Genomic DNA, 24863 nt, shown 5'->3' with positions numbered 1-24863 from the left:
TCCCAGTTCCTCGGGAAACTGAGGCAGGAGAATCACTTGAACCAGGGAGGCAGAGGTTGCAGTGAGCCAAGATTGCGCCACTGCACTCCAGCCTAGGCGACAGAGCTAGACTCTGTCTCAAAAAAAAAAAAAAAAAAAAAAAAAAAAAAAACGAGGCTTGGAGGAATCACATTACTTCACTTCAAATTATACTACAAAGTGATAGTAACCAAAACAGCATAATACTGGTATAAAAACAGATACATAGACAATAGAGCACAATAGAGAACCCAGAAATAAATCCATGCATTTACAGTCAACTCATTTTTGACAACGGCACCGAAGTATACATTGGGAAAAGGATAGTCTCCTAAATGGTGCTAGGAAAAGTGGATATCCATATACAGAAGAATAAAATTATACCCCTACCTCTTGCCATGTACAACAATCAAATCAAAATGGATTAAAGACTTAAATCTAAAACCTGAAACCACAAACGACTAGAAGAAAACATTGGGAATACACTCTAGGACATTAGTCTGAACAGATTTATTTATTTATTTATTTATTTTGAGACAGAGTCTCCCCGTCACCCAGGCTGGAGTACACTACTGTACTATGTATGTCGCCTGGGCGACAGAGCGAGACTCTGTCTCAAAAAATAAAAAATAAAATAAAATAAAAGTGGAATTGGCATGTTCCTAACACAAAGAAATGATAAAAGTTTGAGGTAATGGATACCCCAGTATCCCTGATTTATTATACACTGTATACCTGTATCAACATATGCTTGTATCAAAATATCAGATGTACCTGATAAATATCTGTATCTACTTTGTACCCATAGTAATTAAAAAATTTAGAAGTCCTAACCAGAGTAATCAGACAAGAGAAAGGAATAACGAGCATGCAAATTGGAAAAGAGGAAATCAAACTGCCACTGTTTGCCAATGATATGACTGTATACCTAGAAAACCCTAATGACGCATCCAAAAAGCTCCGAGATCTGATAAACGATTCAGTAAAGTCTCAGGATACAAAATCAATGACACAAATCAATAGCACTGCTATATTCCAGCAACGACAAAGCTGAGAATCAAATCAAGAACTCAATCCCTTTTACAATAGCTGCAAAAAAAACAAAACACCTAGGAATACACTTAACCAAGGAAGTGAAAGATCTTTACAAGGAAAAGTACAAAACACTGTTAAAAGAAATCATAAATGACACAAAGGGAAACACATCCCATGTTCATGGAAGGGAAGAATCAACATTGTGAAAATGACTATACTGACCAAAACAATCTATAGATTCAATGCAATTCCCATCAAAATACCAGCATCATACTTCACAGAACAAGAAAAAACAATCCTAAAATTCATATGGAACCAAAAAAGAGCCCACATAGCCAAAGCAAGACTAAGCAAAAAACAAATCTGGAGGCATCACATTACCCGACTTTAAATTATACAAAAGGCTACAGTTACCAAAACCGCATGGTACTGGTATAAAAATAGGCATGAAGACCAATGGAACACAACAGATAACCCAGAAATAAAGCAAAATACTTATAGCCGCCTAGGCATGCCTGTAATCCCAGCATCTTGGGAGGCCAAGGCGGGTGGATCACCTAAGGTCAGTAGTTTGAGTCCAGCCTGGCCAACATAGAGAAAACTCGTCTCTACTAAAAATACAAAAAAGTTAGCCAGGCATGGTGGTGTGTGCCTGTAATCCCAGCTACTTGGGAGGCTGAGGCAGGAGAATGGCTTGAACCTGAGAGGCAGAGGTTGCAGGGAGCCAAGATCATGCCATTGCACTCCAGCCTGGGAAACAAGAGCAAAATTCCATCTCAAAAAAAAAAAAAAAAAAAAATCAGCAGAGTAAACAGACAACCCATACAGTTGGAGAAAATATTTATGAACTGTGCATCTGACAAAGGACTAGTACCCAGAATCTACAAGGAACTCAAATCAGCAAGAAAAAAAACAAACAATCCCATCAAAAGTAGGCAAAAGACATGAATAGACATTTTTCAAAAGGCATACAATAAGCCAACAAACATATGAAAAGATGCTCAACATCACCAATTATCAGGGAAATGCAAATTAAAACCACAATGAGATATCATTTACTCCTGCAAGAATGGCCATAATTTAAAAATCAAAAAATAATAGATGGTGTGGATGTGGTGACAAATGAACACTTTGACACTGCTGTTGGGAATGTAAACTAGTACAACCACTATGGAAAACAGTATGGCGATTCCTTAAAGAACTAAAAATAGAACTACTGTTTGATCCAGCAATCCCACTACTGGGTACCCACCCAAAGTAAAAGAAGTCATTATATGAAAAAGACACATGTACATGCATGTTTATAGCAGCACAATTCACAACTGCAAAGATATGGAACCAACCCAAGTGCCCAATGACCAACAAGTGGATAAAGAAAATGTGGTGTATATATACCATTGAATACTTAGCCATAAAAAGGAATGAAATAATGTCTTTTGCAGAAACTTGGATGGAATTGGAGGCCATTATTCTAAGTGAGTAATTCAGGAATGGAAAACCAAATGTCGTATGTTCTCACTTACAAGTGAGAGTTCAGCTATGAGGACGCAAAGGCGTAAGACTAATAGAATGGACTTTGAGGATGGGGGGGAAGCTTGAGAGGGATAAAAGACTATATATTGGGTACAGTATACACTGGTCAGGTGACAGGTGCACTAAAATCTCAGAAATCATCACTAAAAAACATCTATGTAACCAAAAACCCACCTGTACCCCAAAACTATTGAAATATTTTAAAAAATAATAAATTTTAAAAATAAAGTAAAACTTGAATGGAAAATGACAGGTATGCTGCATATACTTGTCCCTCCTGAACCATTCTATTAAGTTTCCCACGACTGGAAGGAAAACATGTATTATTTATTTTTTAAAAAACAGGGCAGTGGGAGGGATATTTCTTTGTTATAAAGTACTGGAAATTTTGAGAGCTATATTATACCCATATTCATCTCTTCTTGATGTACCCTGGCTGAAACTGTCAACTGTTACTTTCACACTTCCAATTTAAAATAATGCTAAAAGACAATCAGAGTTCCTTATAATTGAAACTTTTAAATCATACAGACTTGTCAGAATGTTACCTGAAGAAAGCTATTCATTTTTTTACTTAAACTTTAAACTTTCAGTAGCTGCAAAGGAGTTACATTTCAACTGTAGGAGAATTTCTGCAGACGGTCTGATTATGTTGGTATGCAAGTCTTCTAACTACATGAGGATGAACTGGATGCATATAGCCATCTGAAAAAAAAACTGCATATTAATTTATCCCCAAACACACCAATCTAAACCAAACACTGAACCATGGAGGTAAGGAGCTAAGTAATTAATGATGCTGCCAGCCACACACCTGCCAAAGACAATATAAACACCCTGATGTTTCTAGGCTTTTTGAAAAGCACCACGGGGCCAGGCGCAGTGGCTGACACCTGTAATCCCACTTTGGAAGACTGAGGCAGGTGGATCACCCGAAGTCAAGAGTTCGAGACCAGCCTGGCCAACATGGTAAAATCCGGTCTCTACTAAAAAAATACAAAAATTAGCTGGGCATGATGGCACATGCCTGTAATCCCAGCTATTCAGGAGGCTAAGGTAGGAGAATTCCTTGAACCAGGGAGGCAGAGGTTGCTGTGAGCCAAGATCACGCCATTGCACCCCAGCCTGAGCAACAAGAGCAAAACTCTGTCTCAAAAGAAAAAAAAAAAGAAAGAAAAAGAAAAGCACCACAGGCCCTTCTTATTGCTTGCATGCTAGCAACCAAAGGTTATTTAACAGCTCTCTGGGTCTACAAAGGCCCTACATCCCAGAGAGCTTTCCTGCCACTACTTCAGCCATCCTTGCAGGTGAAGAGTGCAAAGGGTCAGAGCTTGGGTCCTGCTCTTGAAACGGTTGCTGACTCCTATTTAATTAAAATCAGGGATGCCAAGAAAAAAAAAATCTGGTGCTCTGCTTATCCAGGGATATGCATTTCATTTTCAAATGATATATCAATTTTACTTTTTTCAGGTACTTCCGACCATGCAATTCAGATATGCCTTACTTTCTATCAAATCTTTAAAGTCATTTTACCACAAACTTCTGAAAGAACTATACATTTTCCACTGTCAGAGATGTAGTTCCACAATTGTATGGCCAAAACAATAAAGATCATATTTTAAGATGAGCATTTTAAAAGATAAGGAAAATTCAATTTGAATACTGTAAATAACTCTTTAGCTCTTAGCCTCTAACAGGAATGCTTAAAAACAAGTGGTAATGCTTTAATAAAACAAAACAGAATTCTAGTATTTGAAAATGTCAGAAGGTATTTTTATTTCAGCTGTCTTAAATACCTACACTGAATGTTACATACATGAAAACCTGTAACTAAAAACTTCTTTTTTTTTTTTTTTGAGACAGTTTCACTCCATCACCCAGGCTGGAATGCAGTGGCGTGATCTAGGCTCACTGCAATCTTGGCCTCCCAGGTTCAAGTGATTCTCGTGCCTCGGCCTCCCGGGTAGCTGGGATTACAGGCACATACCACCACACCTAGCTCATTTTTGTAATTTTGGTAAAGATGGGGTTTCACCATGTTGGCCAGGCTAGTCTCAGACTCCTGGCCTCAAGTGATCTGCCCACACTGGCCTCCCAAAGTGCTGGGATTACAGGCGTGAGCCACTGCCCCTGGCCTAAAAACTATTTCTATATATGGATGCTTTAAAAGCAAATTCACTAATATGGTTACTTTCATCAGTGAAGTAGTATACAGTATATGATTAAATATTTACTGAATATAATATGTGGAACTTATTCTTTAGTTACTTATGCTGTTTTCAAACAGAACAATTGCTCTTAAACTTTTGGGAAGTATGGACCTTTTGGGACTCTTCCAAGAAACATGTATAGCCAAAAGAAAATTTTGCAAACAACTTCAGGGTGAACAGACCCAGGTTAAAAACACCTAATATAAAATCACACACCTTAATGTAATTTATCTTAATTGTGTCTACTCACATAGGTAGCCTACTTGTTAGCTTTATCCTGGCCTGTTTTTCATTCAGCTGAATGAAATACAATTCAATGAAATACAATTTCAATAAAAAAATCAGTAACTTACGATTAATCTGGCTCATTTAGAAGGATTTATTTCTTCAGCCGTTGAAAACTACAAATCTGCTCTAATCTGCTCTAATTTTCAGAAAAATCATTAACAACTCTTACTAGTTTTGTTTATAAATATTTAAACTGGCCAAATAGGCTTACATATATGTCATTAGCAGGACAACGGGAAAGAATTTTATTAACATTGTTGAAAAGAAGAAATCAGAAGGGGGATCAAATCAGTACCATTGACCAGGTATGTGAAATACTGTTCACGACTGTCATGTACCGACCATAGAGCCTCAGACATCTCACTGAATGAATCTACCCATTGGCGGAACTTTATAAAAACTCTGAAACTCTGAGGTCAACAGCAATAGCACTGAAATATTCTATGATACGATGAATTAAAAAACACACAACAACAGAGTATCAAATGGCAATTTTTTCCCCTTTCTTAAAAAATGTTCAGTCTGGGCACGGTGGCTCACACCTGTAATCCCTGCACTTTGGGAGGCCAAGGTGGGTGAATCATGAGGTCAGGAGTTCAAGACCAGCCTGACCAATATGGTGAAACTTTGTCTCTACTGAAAATATAAAAAATTAGCCAGGCATGGTGGCACGTGCCTGTAGTCCCAGCTACTCGGGAGGCTGAGGCAGGAGAATCACTTGAACCCAGGAGGCGGTGGTTACAGTGAGCCGAGATCCTGCCACTGCACTCCTCCAGCCTGGGCAACAGAGTGAGACTCCATCTCAAACAAACAAACAAAAAAAGTTCATAATAGTAGTCTGAACTATTGTAAGTAGAGAGGTAGATAAGCAACTACCATTTTACAATCATTTCTATGACTGCAATAGTTATACTTTTTAAATTTAAAGCTGGGATGGATTAAAATACAAATAATGCAAAATATTCCCCTGATATTTATTGAAATATATCCTCTGATTACGTATAAGAATAAACAAAATTACAATAAAAATTCATCTAGGAATGTGCTAGTACAAAATAGAAGTGTTTTTATCACTTTAAAATTCACATACTAGGCCCTGTGGGATCCAAACATACAAAACAAAGCCCCTTTTCTAAAGGAGTGCCCAGTGCTCTTAGAATAGAGAATGAAATATTAAGTGTATAAAGATGAGAAATGATAATAGCCCCCATGTTCACAGCCCTCAAGAAAAGTCTTCATTTGTTCTATGTGAAACCTATTGCTGGTGCAAACATTTTATTTTGTGTCCCAAAGCAGGCTAAGAATTAATTACAACCTTAATAATAGGACAAGAAAGTTTAAAAACGATCTTTTCCAAAACTCACAGGATTTGGAAAGAAAGCATCTGCTGTAAAGCAAATCAAACAAAACCCCAAAGAAAGGTAATAAAACTGAACTTTCCAAGGAAAAGGAAGCTGTGTTTCTTAATCAGTTTCATTCTTACATTTTGTAAAAAATACTGATCTTAAATATCACTTGGTCTTACAAAATACAATCTTTCATTGCCACTATTTTGTAGATTTTATGAAGAATGTAAAATATTGTCTCTTTCTAAAGGTAGACAAAGGCAACAGTATTTTTCTCCCCACATAGTTCTTACCTACTTGGTCAAAAGAGCTATGACTCTTCATAACCGATCTAATCAAAGTAATGTTTTAATTAATCAAGTTCAATAAAAAGAACTTGAGGAATTTGTTTCTTTTTTTCAATAAATGTCAAAGCTATAACATATAATAAACGTTAAACTAAAAATATATTCCAAAGTCATTACATATGTCTCAAGTTTTCTAAACTTTGGCATATTGACTGGGCCGTGTTCTGAAATGTCATAAAATTTTGTCACGTTTTTCAACTGAATTCAGCAAATCCTCAATGGTGGCCTACTTACACATTTACTACTGTGCTAGCAGTTGATCGCGGCTCCAATAAGATATAAACAGAAATGGAATTAATGGTACAATTTCTGCACACTTCAGGTAAGTGAAACATATATATCACCTTTCCATTCTATTTCAGAACGCGGTATCAGCGGATGCAACAAAGACCACACAGTGTAGCAACGGAGAAATGTTAGCATAAAACAGTTTTGTTTTGTTTTGTTTTTCAATTAAAAATCCTACGTCCCCAGCTGGTTAACTACACACTGCATAAAGTTTACTGTGATGACAACTGTTTCTAAAAAGCAAACCTTTCTTCCCTTCAAAGTGTCCTCCTCCGATCCTTAGGCCATGACTGATTCTAATACTTTTGATCTTAAGACACACAGTGATGACTTTTCTTTGAAAACTAGCAGGTTCGAATGTAGGCCCCAGGTGTCTGCCGTCATGCTTCCGACTCCGGGAAGTGAGGGAAGCCCATCTCCGGTCAGGGTTTACTGTAAGCAGCCCAGAGCCGGAGCACCGACGCAGAGAGACGTGGAAACAGAAAGCGAACGTACTACGGGGCCGCAGCGGGATCCCCGCGCCAGACGCCACCCCGTTAGCAACATATGGGAGAGCAGGGATGGTTCCCAGCCCCTTGACAAGCGCGGCGACGGCTCCGCGGGGCCTGGCGGCGAAGGCGAGGCGAGGCTGCGGCGACGAGGGGCGCGGCGGGCGGGCCGCCGGGGGAGCCCCGCACATTCCTCCCCGCGGCGGAGGCGCACGTGGGGTTCGAGGCCGCAGGGCCTGCAGAGGCGGCCAGAGCAGAGGGCGGCAGGTGCGGGAAAGAAAGAGGACGGGCCCCGGAGGCCGCAAGCCCGAGCAGCGGAGGACGATTCCCGGAGCGGCGGCATGCGGGTCCGCGACCCCGAGGCACCGGCAGCTCGGACAGGGTGGGGGAAGGGAGGGAGGCACCGGGACGCCTAGAGACGGCAGTGTGGGGGTCTGAAGGAGAGACCGGATGGGGGCCCCGAGGGACGCTCGCCGGCGCGGAACTCAGCTCACCGTGCCTCCGTCCTTAATGATGATCTTCTTGGCCAGCATGATACTGCGGTTCGCGGCCCGTTTCTTCTTCTTCCCCTGGGTCATTTTACCATCCTCGATTCCTGGCGCTGCTGCAGCCACTCCCGGGGCGGCAGGCCCCAGCAGCTAGTGCCGTCCCACCACTACTGCCGGGCCGAGCCGCTCTGGGCGCCCGCCGCCATCTTGAGGGCCCGGCCTGCCTCCGGCGGCGCGTCACAATCGTGCGATCAGCCGACGAGCGGGCCCCGCCCCTCCCGCGTGATACCGCCCCGCCCGCTCGCCGCCAGCCCACTCTACAGTAGCCGCGCGGCCAGGGTAACCGCGGGCTCGCGTGGGTGCTGCTGGCTACCTGTACAACTTCGTGCTCCGGCGTCACCAGCTAGCTAAATCCTCGCAACGGTTCTGGGCGATAGGGGCCGTTTTTGTCCCCCTTCTTCAGCAGATGAGGGAATTTGTTTCAAAAAGTTGTTACCTGCTCACGGAAACAGACGTCCTAAGCTATTAACACAATCTCCAGCTGTGTTCTAACCAAGACAGGAACCGAAGGGAACAGTAAAAAATCATTTTCCGTAAGTAATGGGTAACTTAAGAGATAATGTAGTGTTTCAGAAACAGTCTTGTCCTTTTGGTGTTCAGGGACCCCCGCTAGAACTCAGCTGGCTCACGCTTGTTTACCTCCCTAGACCCAGGACCTTTTTTATTCCCTGCCAAAAAAAATACCTTACCTGACCGATGTCACCCTTTGTGGCCCTCTACGTTTTTACTGTATTGTTTAAAAATAAATTTGATGGGAACATTGCTAGAAAGGGCAATTTACACAAGTGGAAGTGGACTTTAAAGTATCACAATGTTAAAATTAGATATTGATAACTACCGTGTTGTATAATAGAATATCCTTTTCCTTAAGAGAAAAACACGAGGGATAGGGATACACCGCATGCTCCCTACTCTCAGATGGTTAGGGAGTAACATGTATGTGTATGTATATGTAGGTGGGGAAAAGAGAGGGACAAAGCAAAATGGCGAATGTTTAAAAGTACTGAAACTAGGTATGGTAGTTCTAAGATATGTTCACAGATTCAATGATATTCCTCCCTGGAAGAGGTGGACTCTAATTCCCCTCCCCTTGAGTGTAGACTAGGCTTAGTGACTCTTGATAGATCAAAACAGAAGTGACAGTATTGACTTCAGAGGCTAGGTCATAAAAGGCACTGCATCTTCCTTTGCGGGTCTCTTTTTCATTCATTTTGGGGCTTGGAGCCTGGGGAAGCCTGCTTCCGTGTTTTCAGGACACTCAAGCAGCCTATGGAGAGATCCAGTTGTCCAGGAACTGTTTGTAGCCTCCTACCAAATGCCACGGAGTGAGTCACTTTGGAAGTAGATCCTCCAACCTTGGTCAAGCCTTTGGCTGACTACAACTTCATGAGAGACCCAGAGGTAGGACCACCTAGCTTAGCCACTCCTGGAATCCTGACTCAGAAACAGTGTAAGATGAAAAGTACTTGGTGTAAGCCACTAAGCTTTGGGGTTATTTGTTACACAGCTATAAATAACTAATATATAGGGTAAAAGGAAAAACAGTAAATGAATGTATGAGTTCTTTGTACTGTTTTTGCAACTTTTCTGTAAGTTTGAAATTATTTCCAAATAAAATGTTAAAAAGTAAATTTGATTGAATTTCCTTTTCCTTGTATTTTCATACTGACTAAAAATGGAAAAAAAAACTAATTTCCATGGAAGGGAGAAGAAAAGCAATTTATAGCCTGATAGATACTTCTAATTATATTTTCCAATCAATAAGTATATTCATTATACTTGTTTTGAAACATATATTCTCATTTTGAAACTTTTTTTATTATTTATTTTTTGAGACAGAGTTTTGCTCTTGTTGCCCAGGCTGCAGTGCAATAGTGCCAACTTGGCTCACTGCAACTTCCAGCTCCCAGGTTCAAGTGATTCTCCTGCCTCAGCCTCCCGAGTAGCTGGGATTACAGGTCCCCACTACCATGCCTGGCTAATTTTTTTTGTATTTTTAGTAGAGATGGAATTTCACCGTGTTGGCCAGGCTTGAACTCCTTACCTGAGGTGATGTTCCCGCCCCAGCCTCCCAAAGTGCTGGGATTACAGGTGTGAGCCACCATGCGTGGCCTATTATTATTTTCTGAGGCAGGGTCTCACTCTGTCACCCAGGCTGGAGTGCAGTGGTGCCATCATGGCCTCCTGCAGCCTCTTCCGAAACGATCCTTCTGCCTCAGCGTCTCAAGTATCTGGGACTACAAATGCACACCACCATGCCTGGCTAATTTTAATTTTTCTTTTGTAAAGACAGAGTCTGGTTATGTTGACCAGGCTGGTTTCAAACCTGGCCTCAAGAGATACTCAGTTCTACCAAAGTGCTGGGATTACAGGTTTGAGCCACCGCGCCTCGCCTGCAACTTTTTAGTTGACACCCAACTTGAAGTTCTTTAGAGAAAGTAATATGATAGATTTCATAATTCAATTCCCAGGAGCTTGTTTTGAATGGAAGTAGAGGGCTGATAATTTATTGTGTGGTTACTTTGATTTTCATAGTCCCTCAAAATCATACTTCATCTAGCTATACCAATTTTATCAGCCTTATGAACTGGTTATTGTTCAGTCATTCAAAAAATATTTACTGGGTGCTTGTGTTGTCAGTGTTTTATTAGATGCCAGGGATACATCAATAAATGAGACACTATCTGCACAGAGCTTACATTCTAGTGGGGGACACAGTTACAAAACAAAAGGAAGGTAATTGCAGATTGCAGTAAATACTGTTGGAAATAATGTAGTAAGAGAAATTTAACACATACTAAATGTCCAGAATGTCCCAGGCTTTGTGCTAGAAAGGCTGCAATGATAAACAAGAGAGAACAGTCCTGTTCTAATAGGCCTATTGTGTATGAACTTGTCGCTTTGTATGTGATTTGGGTTGTGAATACAGCTGGCCCTCAGTATCCTGTGGATTCAACTATCCTCAGAATAAAAATATTTTTTAAATCCCACAAAACAACAAAAATACAAGTAAAAAATACAGTATGACTACACAGCATTACATTGTATTAAGTACTATAAATAATCTAGAGATGATGTATGGGGAGGATGATAACCAAATACTATGCCATTTTATGTAAGGGACTTTAGCATCCACTGATTTGGATATCCACGGAAGTCCCACAACCAATTCCCACTCCCCTCCTCATATGGAGGGATGACCGTATTCACAAACTTTGCGCTAAGAGACTGATATCTCAGTTAGGGTTTTTTGGTTAGGATCAACAGAAACTAACACTGGCTAACAAACTAGTACTCGCTAACGTAAGCAAAAGGGAATTATTTGGAAGGATATTGGAAGTTTTGAAAATTAATGAGAAGGCCAAGAATCAGGCTTAGAAACAAGCAGAAACCAATGTTTGGAAAGTTCATGAAAACAGTTCATGAGGCACCTTGAAAGGGAGTGGGATTCCTTGGAAAGAAAGGCAAGTGGCCAAAAGTAAAAGATTCCTAAAGAAACAAGATTGTATCACAGAATCCAAATCCCACCCCCACCATGCACAATTTATTAAAGAAACTGCACTTCACCATGCTAACAGAAGAGGGTCCTCTTTAACTAAAAACTGAGTAAGTCACCCACATCCCTTCTACCCTCCATTCTATAGAGCCACCTGTTATTGCTGATTGAAGAAGATCCTACACATTTAATCATGAATAGAAAAGCCACCAAAAATCCATACAAGGCTATTATAAAAAACAGAAAATGAAAACTTTTCAATCAATAGAAAATACTACCCTCTAGACAATATGAAGCAGAGGCAAATAATATACAACACTCCAACATGAATATCATTAATTGCACATATAAAAGAACACAGCAAATAAAAATTTTTAAACTCAATAGTAAGATGTAAAATGAGAGTTGAACAAACATAGGCAATATACTGAAAAGATAAAATCATCTAAAAATGAAAACTAAATCACAGGGTACCTGAGAGACACAAATAAAAGTAAAGTAAGAAATACAGAGAAGAGGAATAAAACAGCTATGAGAACAAAAATGAGATAAAAAGGATCATAGATAAAATAATATAGAAAAAATTATCTGGGTCTCTAGGTAAAAAACAACAAACAAAATGTCATTTCCAAAAGGGAAAAAAATCAAGTGGTGCCACACTTCTTGATGATAACATCAAGCAACCCAACAGTGAAGCACAAATTCAGACAAACTCAAGAAAAGGAAATGTTTGTCAAGGATTTTCTACATGGCCAAGGTGTACTTTAAGTATCTAGGCTCCAGAAGAAATTTTAAACATGTCACAACTCAGAGAATATTGTACAGTACTTACAAGCCCTCCTTGAATACTCTACAGAAGAGCTTCATCCAGCCAAAAGTTGACCAGAGAGACTTCAGGTAAGTATCAGTAGGTTATTAAATATACTTTTTTAAAATTTTAATTAATTTTATTACAAAGGTGGGGATTAGGATGGGAAAATAGTGTGTAAATATTATATGTTCTAATCAAAAAGAAATAAGACTACAGAAAATATGAACAGATAATATATTCACTGACGGTCACATAGACAATTAGATAAGAGTCAAAGAACATCATTTAAAGGTGTCAAATTAAATAGTAGAGGCCTAGACAAGCAAATTGGGGACTCTAAATGCATTATATAAAATGTTATCAGTATAAATTAGAGCATACAAACCTTTCTAAACATCCAAAGAAATTTTATAAAGACCCCATGTTGTGAAAGAGGCACAGTAAGTACAGCAATATGCATATTTGTTTGCTTTTTAAAAAGAAACACATGAAAGATAAATTGGAAAACTAAGAAAATACTTATAATAATTACTTATAAGAGATGGATAATAATTACTTATAAGAGATGGTTAGGAATGGAGGGATAGGTATGACAGCTAGATTTTTTCAGAGTACACTTTTCATATAAAACTTTTCGAAAAAATTTATCTTTTTTTTTTTTTTTGTAGAGACAGGATCTCACTCTGTTGCCCAGGCTGGTCTTGAACCCCTGGCCTTAAGTGATCCTCCCACCTCAGACTCCCAAAGTGCTGGAATTACAGGGATGAGCCACTGCACCTGGCCATGTTGCTAAATTTTAGTTGTAAATATTAATTTGAATTCATGATCTTTTAAAATTGTATTTCCTAGCTATGTCCACTAAAATGGCCTAGAAACAATGACAGCTCAGTAACAATGGATTCTATAATAAATTCCATTCACTGGCTAGAAGGACTCCAAAGAAAAAATTAAATAAATCCCACTCCCCTTAAAAGGTATAGGGCTCCTTGGAGAATTAGCTGATAATCCAAATTTGGAACAAGACAAATATAAGGTAAGCCTCAGATTTCTTGTGCCTAAAGCAAATAAGGACTAAAAGACTAATGTGGTCATGTTTAAAAAACACAAGAGTGGCCGGGCGCGGTGGCTCATGCCTGTAATCCCAGCACTTTGGGAGGCCGAGGCGGGTGGATCACGAGGTCAGGAGTTCAAGACCAGCCTGGCCAAGATGGTGAAACCCCATCTCTACTAAAAATACAAAAAATTAGCCAGGCGCGGTGGCAGGCACCTATAGTCCCAGCTACTCAGGAGGCTGAGGAAGGAGAATCATTTGAACCCGGAGGGTGGAGGTTGCAGTGAGCCGAGATCGTGCCACTGCACTCCAGCTTGGGTGACAGAGTGAAACTCCATCTCAAAAAAAACCCAAGAGCTAGCTTGCTGTGACTTACATGGGCTAGAGGCTCACAATATATATGAGCATCAAAAAGAACTGTGACCGATTGGCTATAATATATTGAGTAATTTTTTTTAAATTCATGAAGACATGGTCTTTTTTTTAAAGAGGGATATTAGAGAAACAGGAGGGAAATATACTTTTTTATTTTAAAAAAGAATATAAACTAATAAATGTAGAAGAAATTTAGAGCACTAAAAAAAATTTATCACCATTTTGCACCCCAGTGTAATAAATGATTCAGTCAAGAATCATCAATTGATGCTAAAGGCATTGGGAAACAGAATATTCTCCTGGTGCTAAAACATTACTCCATAGATTACTAAGGGTGAACAAATGACCTTTACCACAGGGAGAACTTTACAATAACCTTTACAATGGGGTAGTCATCATCTTAACCAAATAATTACCAACATTAATAATGAGATTATCTGTGCCTTTTAATATGATACAATATAAAATCTGTGAAATATTTTTACCCAATACATTTAACCTGAAGGTAATCAAACCTATAGACTTGACTTCCAGTTCAAAGGACATGAAAGGAATAAAGGGAACAAATCAAACCACATAATAGGAGCAAAGTAACTTTGGTCCTTCAAAGAGTACTATCATGGGGAGAAAAGTCATTAGAGGTAGCATTTTCAGTCTCTTGGTATAAAAAAGCCATTGAGGGGCAGGTGGTGGTGCAGGAAGGGGACTTCAAGACCAAAGGAGACAATCAAATACAAAGCATTAACCTTGATTTTACCCTCGTTCCAAAACAAAAAAGCTATAAAAAATCATTTTTGAGACAACTGGGAATACAGTTGACTCTTGAACAACAGATTTGAACTGCATGGGTCCACTTATATGCAGATTTTTTTTCAGCCAAATGCAGATGGAAAACACAGTTATTTGCAGGATGTGAAACCCACCCATAGGGAGGGCTGACTTTTCTTATACGCGGTTTCCCCTTAAGGACTTGAGTGTGCCCAAATTTTGGTATACACGAGGTGGGGGTCCTGGAACCAATCCCCCACGTTTACAGAGGGGCAATTGTATTTGAATTTGAACTTAGATGAAGTGACCTGAATTAATTTAAATTTTCTTAGGTGTCATAATGGCACTGAGGTTAATTAAGAAGATGTCCATATCTTTAGGTCACGCATGCTGGAGTATGTAGGGGTAAAGTGTCCCAACAGAGATAAAGCTAGTGTGGCAAAATGTTAATAATGGTTGGATTTAGGTGGTATACCAATTTTTCAATTTTTTTGTATGCTGCAAAATGAAAAGCTGGAGAAAATTTAATTTTAAAAAAGGTTCTTTAACAATGCCGCATGTGTGAGTTCATGGAGGTAGCCCATGAGTTTTTTAAAGCTAAATTGGCACAATCTGTCATAGCATGATTGAAGCCATTAAAATGGCAATATTATAAAAACAAAACATTGAAAACAAAATGAAACTTGACACGAGGGAAATGGAGAAAAATAATATGAAATAATGGAAATTTGAGGCATTATGTGTATATAACATCCAAAATAAGTGTGGCAGGTTTTAAAATTCTAGAATTCATAGCAATATGACTGGAACAGTTATAAAATGAAACATGGGCACACATCTTTCATGATTTTCTATAATTCTATCATCACTCAGGAAATATTACCCTGCCTTGGCTATATTTAAAAGACCTATTGAAGCAGCATGCATATATTAAAAAAGCACTTAGCATCATCATTTTAAAATGCTGTATTTACTATCCAAGCAGAATAAAATAAAACTTTAGCCTAAAGGGAAAAACTTAATAAACCCTCAATTATTAGAAATCATGTTTGTACATGCAGTATCTTTTAAAAGACCAAACACACACACACACAGATTTTGTGTCTAAATCACACAAGTCTGATTTAGTACATTTAACTGAACCTCTTAAATACTCTACATTTAAAGCTGGGGTGTCCAATCTTTTGGCTTCCCTGGGTCACCCTTAAAGAAGAAGAATTGTCTTGGGCCACATATAAAATACAGTAACTAATAATAGCTGATGAGCTTTAAAAAATTGCAAAAAAATCTCATACTGTTTTAAGAAAGTTTACAAATTTGTGTTGAGCCACATTCAAAGCCATCCTGGGCTGCATGCAGCCTGCAGGCCGCGCGTTGGACAAGCTTAAAGTATATTTTAACGTGAATTTTCAGTGATTATCACTAAACACTGTAACAATATTCATTATTCTTTTAAACCTGCAGTGAGTTCTACCTTTAAAATGAGGAAAGTGTATATCTAAGATAAACTGTATATTTCCAAAAGAACACCATGTTATTTGTTTTAAACAAATTACCTCTAACATTTTAGAAATCCTAAATGAATGAATGAAAATAAATGCATTAAACGAAAAACACCTGATTCTCAGGTCCAAGGGAGGAAAATGTGATCCTAACACTAGTGAAGCCCTACTGTGAGCCAAAATAACAACTGGTATCAGGTTTTAGCTCTTCCTTATAATGGTGATAGGAATGCCTAATTTAAAATTAGTTCAAAATTGTTTATTAATATGCAGTACAGGTAAAAGGTTTATAAACCATGTTTTAAATTTGTAGTTTAAAATAGTCCAGCATTTATAAAGTTGTCATTAAACATAAGAAGTGAAAACTAAATGACAATACTATGCTCTCTCTCTCTCTATATATATATATATGTTCTTAACACAATATCTGATTATAAACATTTTTCCACACTAGATTCATGTTATGTTCAGAATCATTTGACAGATATTCTAAAATTAAAAATGACAATGTATAAATTAAAAGTCTCTGGGCTGGGTGTGATGGCTCATGCCTGTAATCCCAGCACTTTGGGAGGCCAAGGCCGGCAGATCACCTGAGGTCAGGAGTTCGAGACCAGCCTGGCCAACATGGTGAAAACCCGTCTCTACCAAAAATACAAAAATTAGTTGGGCGTGGTGGTGAGCACCAGTAATCCCAGCTACTTGGGAGGCTGAGGTAGGAGAATTGCTCAAACCCAGGAGGCGGAGGTTGCAGTGAGCAGAGATCGTGCCGCTGAACTCCAGCCTGAGTGACAGAGCGAGACTCCATCTCAAAAAAAAAAAAAAAAAAAAAATTAAAAGTCTCTGAAAAGAAGAATTGTCGTTGCTTGTATCATCCTCATCAATTCAGAAGGAAGTGTATAGAGATGAATGGTCTTTGTGTAGTAAGAAATTTGGCCCATCCAAAGAAAGTTCTGGTGTAAGTCTTTGGGAGTTCTCACTGATAGGAATGTCTTTATTATTCATTGTGGGTTCCTTAGACAACACTTGACAGTTTATGCTAACGAGATAACCTATGGTGAGGCCCTGAAGTCTTGATGTCAACCAGATCTCCAGGGAGGGGCAGATGTTGGAAAGAGAGGACAACTACATGGGCAAAAAAATCAACCAACCATGCCAACTAATAGAGCCTCTCTCAATAAAAATCTGGACACCAAAGCTTAGGTGAGCTTCCCTGAATGGCAATACTATGTGTGTACTGTCAAACATTGTGGTCAGGAGTAGATAACACCTTCCATGACGCTACAAGAAAAGGACACCGAAAGCCTCAAGTTTGGACCACTCCTAGACTCTGTTTTATGTGTCACTTCCTTTGGCTGGTTTTAATTTGTATTTCCTTTCTCTGTAATAAATATGACTGTGAGTATAATAGCTTTTAGTAAGTTTTCTCTTTCTAGCCAGAACTGAGGGTGAACTTGGGAAACCCCTGAATTTGCAATGACCAAAACACTCTCAGCCATAGCAGAAGCTCAAATCTTTGGTAATTGAAGGCAATTTATTTCTTCCTTGCTATTTTCTTTTCTAGAGTGTATATGTAATCGGTCCTGCCTTAAAGGAATTCTCTTTTTAAGAACAGTAAGAAAGACCAATATGGGCTGGGTGTGGTCGCTCACGCCTGTAATCCCAACACTTTGGGAGGCCAAGGCAGGCAGATCACTGAAGCTCAGGAGTTTGAGACCAATCCGGGCAACATGGCAAAACCCCATCTCTACAAAAAAATACAAAAATCAGCTGGGCATGGTGGCGCGCACCTGTATTCCCAGCTGCTTGGGGGCCGAGGCTCCTGGGAGGATCACTTGAGCTTGCTCTATCAAGGCTGCAGTGAGCCAAGATTGTGTCACCGCACTCCAGCCTAGGCAACGGGAGGAAGACCTTGTCTCAAAAACAAAAAACAAAAAACAAAACAGAAAAACACCCCAAAAAACCCCACCAGTATGATTACTAATGCTGGTCACTATCAGTCTCTTTTGAAAGGCAGTATTGGCCGGGCGCAGCGGCTCACGCCTGTAAACCCAGCACTTTGGGAGGCCGAGGCAGGCGGATCACCTGAGGTCAGGAGTTTGAGACCAGCCTGGCCAACATGGTGAAACCCTGTCTCTACTAAAAATACAAAAATTAGTTGGGCGTGGTGGCATGGCCTGTAATCCCAGTTACTAGGGAGGCTGAGGCAGGAGAATTGCTTGAACCTGGGAGGCAGAGGTTGCAGTGAGGTCACACCACTGCAGCCTAGGTGACAGAGCGAGACACCATCTCAAAAAAAAAAAAAAAAAAAAAAAAAAGGTAGTATTATCTATAAGATTCAGATTCTAAGATACTTTTGCATAGCAGTGGAACTTGAGGATTGTGATATATTTCCAACAAAAGAAGCACTGTAATACAAAAAAGATTATTAAATATTTTTAGTTAGTGCTTTTCATGAGAGGTTGCCAAAGAAAAATATACACTTTAAAAATGCTGGCACTTTAGTGATTTTTTTACAAAGTATTTTGTGTAAGGTTACTTCAGCAGTAGAGATAGGACTAAAATCCTGTATATTATCACAATTGATCTCCATGCATTCAATTGACAGTCACAATGGAAGCAATTATATTCAAATTATGAAGAAAATACATACCAAACTTCTATAATTACTTAACCTTGAGGCTAGCCTAGAGATATTTAAAACAAAAAATCTGTTAGGCTGTTATTAACATATAGAAAGATAAATTCTAACTAGCTTAAATAAACCCAGTCTTTTTTTGTTGTTTCAGTTTTTGTTTTGTTTGTTTTTTGAGACAGAGTCTCACTGTCACTCAGGCTAGAGTCCAGTAGTGTCATCATGGTTTACTGCAGCATCAAATTGCTGGGCTCAAGCAATCCTTCTGCCTCAGCCTCCTGAGTAGCTGGCCCCACAGGTGCATGCCCACATATTGGCTAATTTTATTTTTAAGATTTTTTGTAGAAACAAGGCTATGTTGCCCAGGCTGGCCTCAAATTCATGGGCTCAAGCGATTCTTCTGCCTTGGCTTCCTAAAGTGTTGGGATTACAGGAATGAGCCACTGCACCTGGCCAACCCAGTATTTCATGCTAGAATATGGGCTAGAGAAAAGGAAGAAAGATCACATGTGACAGTGATAGAGATACTACAGAGCCAGAGAAAAAGATCAGTAATTCATTTTTGATATATAAAGAGAGAAGACTAATTCATAGGTTAGGTCATAGACACAGGTAAATAGGAAAATAAGGAAATATAGAAAAAGATTTGTATAGAGTTCTTTATGAAAATAATCTATTTCAATAAATCTATTAAATAGGTAATAGCTGGATACCAAAAAATGACAAGAGAAGTTTATCAATTAAAAAGCCATTTAACAAAAGACCAATTTATACATTCCTTTGAATTATGTCCATAAAAAATTTAAATATACAAATTACATTATCAAACCCAAAAGAATCTTTCTAAACAAATGAAATACAGATATAGACAAAGTCAGGATCCAAATTATTTTAAAAAGTTTTTAAATTATTTTGTAATTACAAATGAAACAACAAACTGACAGTTTTATACAATTGTTAAAGTTTCAAAAAGTTCAATGATGGAGCAATAGTATCACAATTTATTTAAGTACTGTTCACAAATGTTTATGCTTTTGTAATATACCTATTTTAATTTTGTTAATGAATTTGAAGAGCTAATGTTGAAACAACCAAAAAAATAGAAATGTATTTATTCTTAAAAATCCTAATTTTGCCCATGTGTCTACAGTTGTGAATTACAGGAACACCCTCCAGAAAAATCAGGTATTTGGTAAAGCAAGGCACATAGGACCAGATTTTGATAAAGGTGCTTGTTCTCTGCTCCTATAACTACTTTAAATAACCTGGAGATTCTTAAGATGACTTTCAATATAGCATAAATAACTTTTATAAACCTTTTTTATGTAAAGCATACACCCATGATAATTAAATATTATAATGTGAATGTGTAAATCAAATGAGTGATGCTAAACCCTTTAAGAAAAAACCCAACTCAGTTTAATGACTATACAATGAAATTTTTAAAGTTCAATAATTTGATATGTAAGAATAATCAGTATTACAGTAAGTGTAGAGAACATAATTAGTTTCCTTTCAGATTATATCTTAGAATCTAAATATCAAGCTACCTTTCCTTCCATGAAATTATGTGACATTCAATATAAATTGATGTAAACATTTAAGTTTTGCATCTCTATACTATATATTCCACCGTAAAAGTAGCCTACAACATCTCTAAAATCACTTACTAAAGAACTGATAATATAATACTACTGTGTTGAAATATCCATTTGTTGCATTTCAAACTTTTCTTCCCAAATACCATATTCTTAATTGCTAAAAGAACTATCAATTGGCACTCTTCTCCCATGAGTTAGCACATTTTCACATTGAACAAAGTAGTTGCGTGATAACAAATAAAAAGTATAGGAATTTAAATAATGAAGGAGTCATCATTATAAAAGCTTGATACAGTAAGGCCTGTGGAGGTCATCAAAACACACATCACACACACAAGGAAATGGCATTATCTGTATATGTGACATGATCCTAGGGCACAGGTCTACCTTCTCATGTATGATTACTTTTTTATGAATTAAAAATTATAAACTACATAGCCCAATCTCCAATAAACATTTTCAAACCCACTAGAAAAGCAAAATGTAAATTATGCCTGTCTAATAAAATTGTGCTTTGAAAATATATTTGACTACTTTGTCCATTTTTACAATTCTTGTTTACATTTTTATAACTTTCATTAGGAATTTTGAAAATTGTGTTTCGACACCTAAAAATGTGTTACCATTGTAACTAACATGTCTAATATCTAATTTGCTTGTATAATTTTTTAAAATTATTAAAATAGAAACAGACTAAACCTGATTAAATGTGAATGCACACTGCATTAATACATAAGTAACCAACCAATACTTCAATGTGAGCTAAACATAAATCATTATATTTCAGCTTGAATTCTGTGCATTTGCAGGATTTAGATTTTACTTAGCAGTAAGTAATAATGTAAGTCTAAATATTATTGCAGTCTAAAACTACCATGTTCAAAATGTGGTGAACTTAGTAAACAAATACTCTAAAGGGTGGTTACTGAAAATCATGTTGGGCATCCAGAAAGTTTGCTTGGTACCAATTTGGAATCACCACCAAAGTGATTTTAAAGATTTGGTAATTTTAAATGCTTTTAAACTTTGGATGGAATTGATGAGACCTGCAATCTGTAGACTATTACTGCAAAAGCAAGGTAACACTGCCAGTTCACGTTAGGCAAGGGTACCCAACAGTCTGTAACATAGTATTTTTGAGCCAATTCTGTTTAATAAAATCCATGAGAGCTATATAAAAATACTTATTTTTTACAGTTTTTATATCTATTAGAACAGTCTTTAAAAATATATACAGTATAGGCCGGGCGCAGTGGCTCACGCCTGCAATCCCAGCTACTCAGAGGCTGAGGCAGGAGAATCCCTTGAACCAGGGAGTGGGAGGTTGCAGTAAGCCGAGATCGCGCCACAGCACTCCAGCCTGGCGACAAAGTGAGACTCTGTCTCAAAAAAAAAAAAAAAGAAGTATTTTATTTTTTTCATTCATACTGTGGGTGTGTGTGTGTGTGTGTGTGTTTTCTTTTTTTTTTTTTTGAGACGGAGTCTCGCTCTGTCACCCAGGCTGGGGTGCAGTGGCACGATCTTGGCTCACTGCAACTTCCACCTGGTGTGTTCAAGAAATTCTCCTGCCTCAGCCTCCTGAGTAGCTGGGACTACAGGCGCGCACCACCATGCCCAGCTAATTTTTGTATTATTAGTAGAGATGGGATTTCACCATGCTGGCCAGGCTGGTCTCGAATTCCTGACCTTGTGATCCACCCGCCTCGGCCTCCCAAAGTGCTGGGATTACAGGCATGAGCCACTGTGCCCAGACAGTAAAATACTTCTTATACTCAGTAAGTAATTCTGTCTATAGTTAATAATTAAATTAAACCCATATTCAAATTATAGAAAGCATTTTTGCCCACCAAATCATCTTACCATTTCTAATATACTCTCTCTCTCTTGAATCAACTTATTAAATAACTCATGTAATCTGCATCCTCAGCTCCAGTGTTCATTAAAAAGGAAAAAAACCCACTATTTTAAAGCAAAATGGTGGCTCCTTCTCAGTAGCTTTTTTTTTTTTCTTTTTTTTGAGACAGACTCTCACTGTGTCGCCCAGGTTGGAGTGCAGTGGCGTGATCTCCACTTACTGCAACCTCTGCCTCCCGGGTTCAAGTGATTCTCCTGCCTCAGTCTCCCGAGTAGCTGGGACTACAGGTGCGTGCCACCACACCCAGCTAATTTTTGTATTTTTGGTAGAGACGGGGTTTCACCATGTTGGTCAGGATAGTCTCAATCTCTTGACCTTGTGATCCACCTGCCTCAGCCTCCCAAACTGCTAGGATTACAGGCGTGAGCCACTGCGCCAGGCCTTCTCAGCAGCTCTTGTGGGAACACAGAAAGGGAATTCAAAATTTGGCTACCTCTCCCACTCATGTGATCAGGGAAGAATAGGCTTATGAGAGACCTAAAAAAATCTTCCGAGCAGCCTTGGATTTAAAGTCATAGCGCTGTTTAAAATAAAGTAATATGGCAATCTGGAATGTCTCCAAGAAAAGTCATTTTGTTCTGTCACTGACATCTGTACTATTTGTTTGAATGTTGTTTTTGTAAACAGTTGTAGATTAAAGAAGTTTTTACAGATCAATGAGTAAAATGTTCATTTAATAACTTTCTAACTGTATACAGTATATGCTTGATAGTTCAAAATTCTCCAAATGTAGATATTATACAATAATTATTTTAAATTATTAAATGAGTATTTAATCCTTTTAAATTACATTTTGAAAATTTAATGGCAATTACACACAAATTTTAATTTAAAATAATATTAAGGACTTAATCTGATTTACAGAAATGAAATGCAATGAAGAGATTAAGGGCTAACCTCCATTACTATAAAATTCTCTGGCTACCATCTAGCACAGGAGCAACTGGATTGCTTTCAGCAGTCTTGAAGCACTAAAATATCTTAAAATTCATATGGAGAAATAGTATGTATCTCTACATTAAATTTAGATTTGATATTTATTCTCTGACAGATCAGACCCAGAATATTAATTTTTATGTAATTGAACCAAAAACATTTAGCAATCCTTCATTTAGTAATCTTTTGTATAAATATAAAAATCTCTGATAAGTGAAATGTTTTTTCAAATTATACTTCTATTTTTCACAGCTTTATAGGTAATTATAATTTTCAAACTTTAAATATTTCATGTGATTTGATATATCTGTACAGAAAGAGTAAGATAAAAACATTTAATAAGATTAAATCTAATTTGCAAAAATTGGTATCTGACATTTGTTGTGTGCTCTTGCAAAGAGTGCATAGGACATTTCTGCAGCAATCAAAAAGGTAAAATCTTTTTAAACTCAGATTTCAAGTTTCCTCTAATATTCCTTCTAATCCTAATCCCTGGAAATACTTTCAAGTTTTGATTTCTAGATGCAATGTGTTTTGTTACATATACACATGTCTTATCCTTAAACTTTTAAAAAACAGTATGATCAGATTCAGCATGATGATATCTTCTCAGACTCTGTAGAAGTCCTCTGTGCAAGATTAATGTCGAGATTCCTAGTGCCCCATCGTGAAAAACCAGTTAAAGATAGTATACAACTATGCTTTAGTGGGATTTCCTGCAGGTTTGGGATCATAACCATACAAAAAAGTAGCTGTTATTACAAGGATGGCTCCAAGGAAAAAGACACTGAATAAGATGAAGACAAAATAAAAAAGAGAAAATCAGATTAAAAGCAGAACAAGTTCCTTCTATTTCTTTACTATAAAAACAATTATAATGTGGGGAAAAATGTTCCAGTAACACGGCTAACAAATCTTGAGTACTTACTACATTCCAGGTATCTGGCTAAGTGCTTTATATGCATTATTTCATTGAGTTGTCACAGCAAATCTATGAAGATGTATTAGTATTCATTTTTTACACATGAGGAAACAGTTTTAAAGAATTTAAATAACTTGTCTAAAGTCCCACAACTTCAAGAGGATCAAACCCAGGTATGTCTAACTCTACAGCCTGCACTCTCATCGACTGCACTATACTGTCTTCCAAAGCAAAGCTATTTTAAGTTCTGTATTTCACCTTAATAGGGATTTTGTATACAATACATTCAATAACAAAAGGCCTTAATTCTTTAGTTGAACATACGAAAGGAATATTTTATTCTGTCATGTTAAACCAAGGTAAAGTTTAGTTTAAAATCCAAGATAATAATAAGCAAAACTCAGGACCAATTTTTATAGGATGCTTTACAAAGGGAAATTACATTAAATGCAGGGAGTTCTTGGTTTCCTCTTTATCCTATATATTTATAGATATAGTCTACTTTACAATAAATCAGAAATGAATTTAGACAGGATATGTAAACTAGACTACAAATATTAACTTTTTTTTTTCTTTTTAAAGACAGGGTCTCACTCAGTCCCTCAGGCTCTGGAGTGCAGTGCTGTCACCATGGCTCACTGCAGCCTCGACCTCCAGGGTTCAAGCAATCCCAGCTCAGTCTCCTAAGTAGCTGAGACCACAGGTGCAAACCACCACACCTGGCTAATTTTTCTATTTTTTGTAGAGCTG

The 24863-nt window shown here is 37.9% G+C and overlaps 2 protein-coding genes and 1 long non-coding RNA gene across 25 annotated transcripts in view, besides 4 other annotated features; 1 reads left to right on the top strand and 2 right to left on the bottom strand.

Moving 5' to 3' along the window:
- The window catches only part of SLC71A1 (solute carrier family 71 member 1), a 45283-nt gene extending 37014 nt beyond the window's left edge, over positions 1-8269 (bottom strand). For 3 of the 5 annotated variants that reach the window (NM_033055.3, XM_011541957.2, XM_047427999.1), the window contains exon 1: positions 8048-8269. In NM_033055.3, coding sequence (NP_149044.2) covers positions 8048-8131 — 84 coding nt within the window. In that variant the 5' untranslated portion in view covers positions 8132-8269. Of the gene's footprint in view, positions 1-3134; positions 3292-7011; positions 7469-8047 lie in introns of those variants that run through there. The other 2 variants (XM_047427996.1, XM_017002084.2) reach the window with 2 other exon arrangements.
- Positions 7643-7832: a silencer, noted in NCBI's record as "silent region_1117". NCBI's record gives its function as "represses an Ori minimal core promoter by ATAC-STARR-seq in GM12878 lymphoblastoid cells {active_cell/tissue: GM12878}" and the evidence as "EXISTENCE:reporter gene assay evidence [ECO:0000049][PMID:35858748]".
- Positions 7953-8232: an enhancer, noted in NCBI's record as "active region_1366". NCBI's record gives its function as "activates an Ori minimal core promoter by ATAC-STARR-seq in GM12878 lymphoblastoid cells {active_cell/tissue: GM12878}" and the evidence as "EXISTENCE:reporter gene assay evidence [ECO:0000049][PMID:35858748]".
- Positions 8195-8797: an enhancer, noted in NCBI's record as "NANOG-H3K27ac-H3K4me1 hESC enhancer chr1:100503123-100503725 (GRCh37/hg19 assembly coordinates)". NCBI's record gives its function as "activates a minimal SCP1, AML or CMV promoter by ChIP-STARR-seq in primed H9 embryonic stem cells {active_cell/tissue: H9 hESC(primed)}" and the evidence as "EXISTENCE:reporter gene assay evidence [ECO:0000049][PMID:30033119]".
- Positions 8293-8472: a silencer, noted in NCBI's record as "silent region_1116". NCBI's record gives its function as "represses an Ori minimal core promoter by ATAC-STARR-seq in GM12878 lymphoblastoid cells {active_cell/tissue: GM12878}" and the evidence as "EXISTENCE:reporter gene assay evidence [ECO:0000049][PMID:35858748]".
- LOC124904230 (uncharacterized) overlaps positions 8356-24863 on the top strand; it is a 124812-nt gene continuing 108304 nt past the window's right edge. For all 9 annotated transcript variants that reach the window (XR_007066249.1, XR_007066245.1, XR_007066243.1 and 6 more), the window contains exon 1: positions 8356-8634. This is a non-coding gene — a long non-coding RNA (uncharacterized LOC124904230). The remainder of the gene's footprint in view (positions 8635-24863) is intronic.
- Positions 10730-24863, bottom strand: part of SLC35A3 (solute carrier family 35 member A3) — a 65639-nt gene continuing 51505 nt past the window's right edge. For all 11 annotated transcript variants that reach the window (NM_001438725.1, NM_012243.3, NM_001438728.1 and 8 more), the window contains one exon: positions 10730-23978. In NM_001438725.1, coding sequence (NP_001425654.1) covers positions 23888-23978 — 91 coding nt within the window. In that variant the 3' untranslated portion in view covers positions 10730-23887. The remainder of the gene's footprint in view (positions 23979-24863) is intronic.

The sequence above is a fragment of the Homo sapiens genome, chromosome 1, assembly GCF_000001405.40.
Source record: "Homo sapiens chromosome 1, GRCh38.p14 Primary Assembly".
Lineage (NCBI taxonomy): Eukaryota > Metazoa > Chordata > Mammalia > Primates > Hominidae > Homo > Homo sapiens.
Note: the sequence above shows the minus strand (reverse complement) of the source record. Positions and strands in the feature narration are given on the sequence as shown.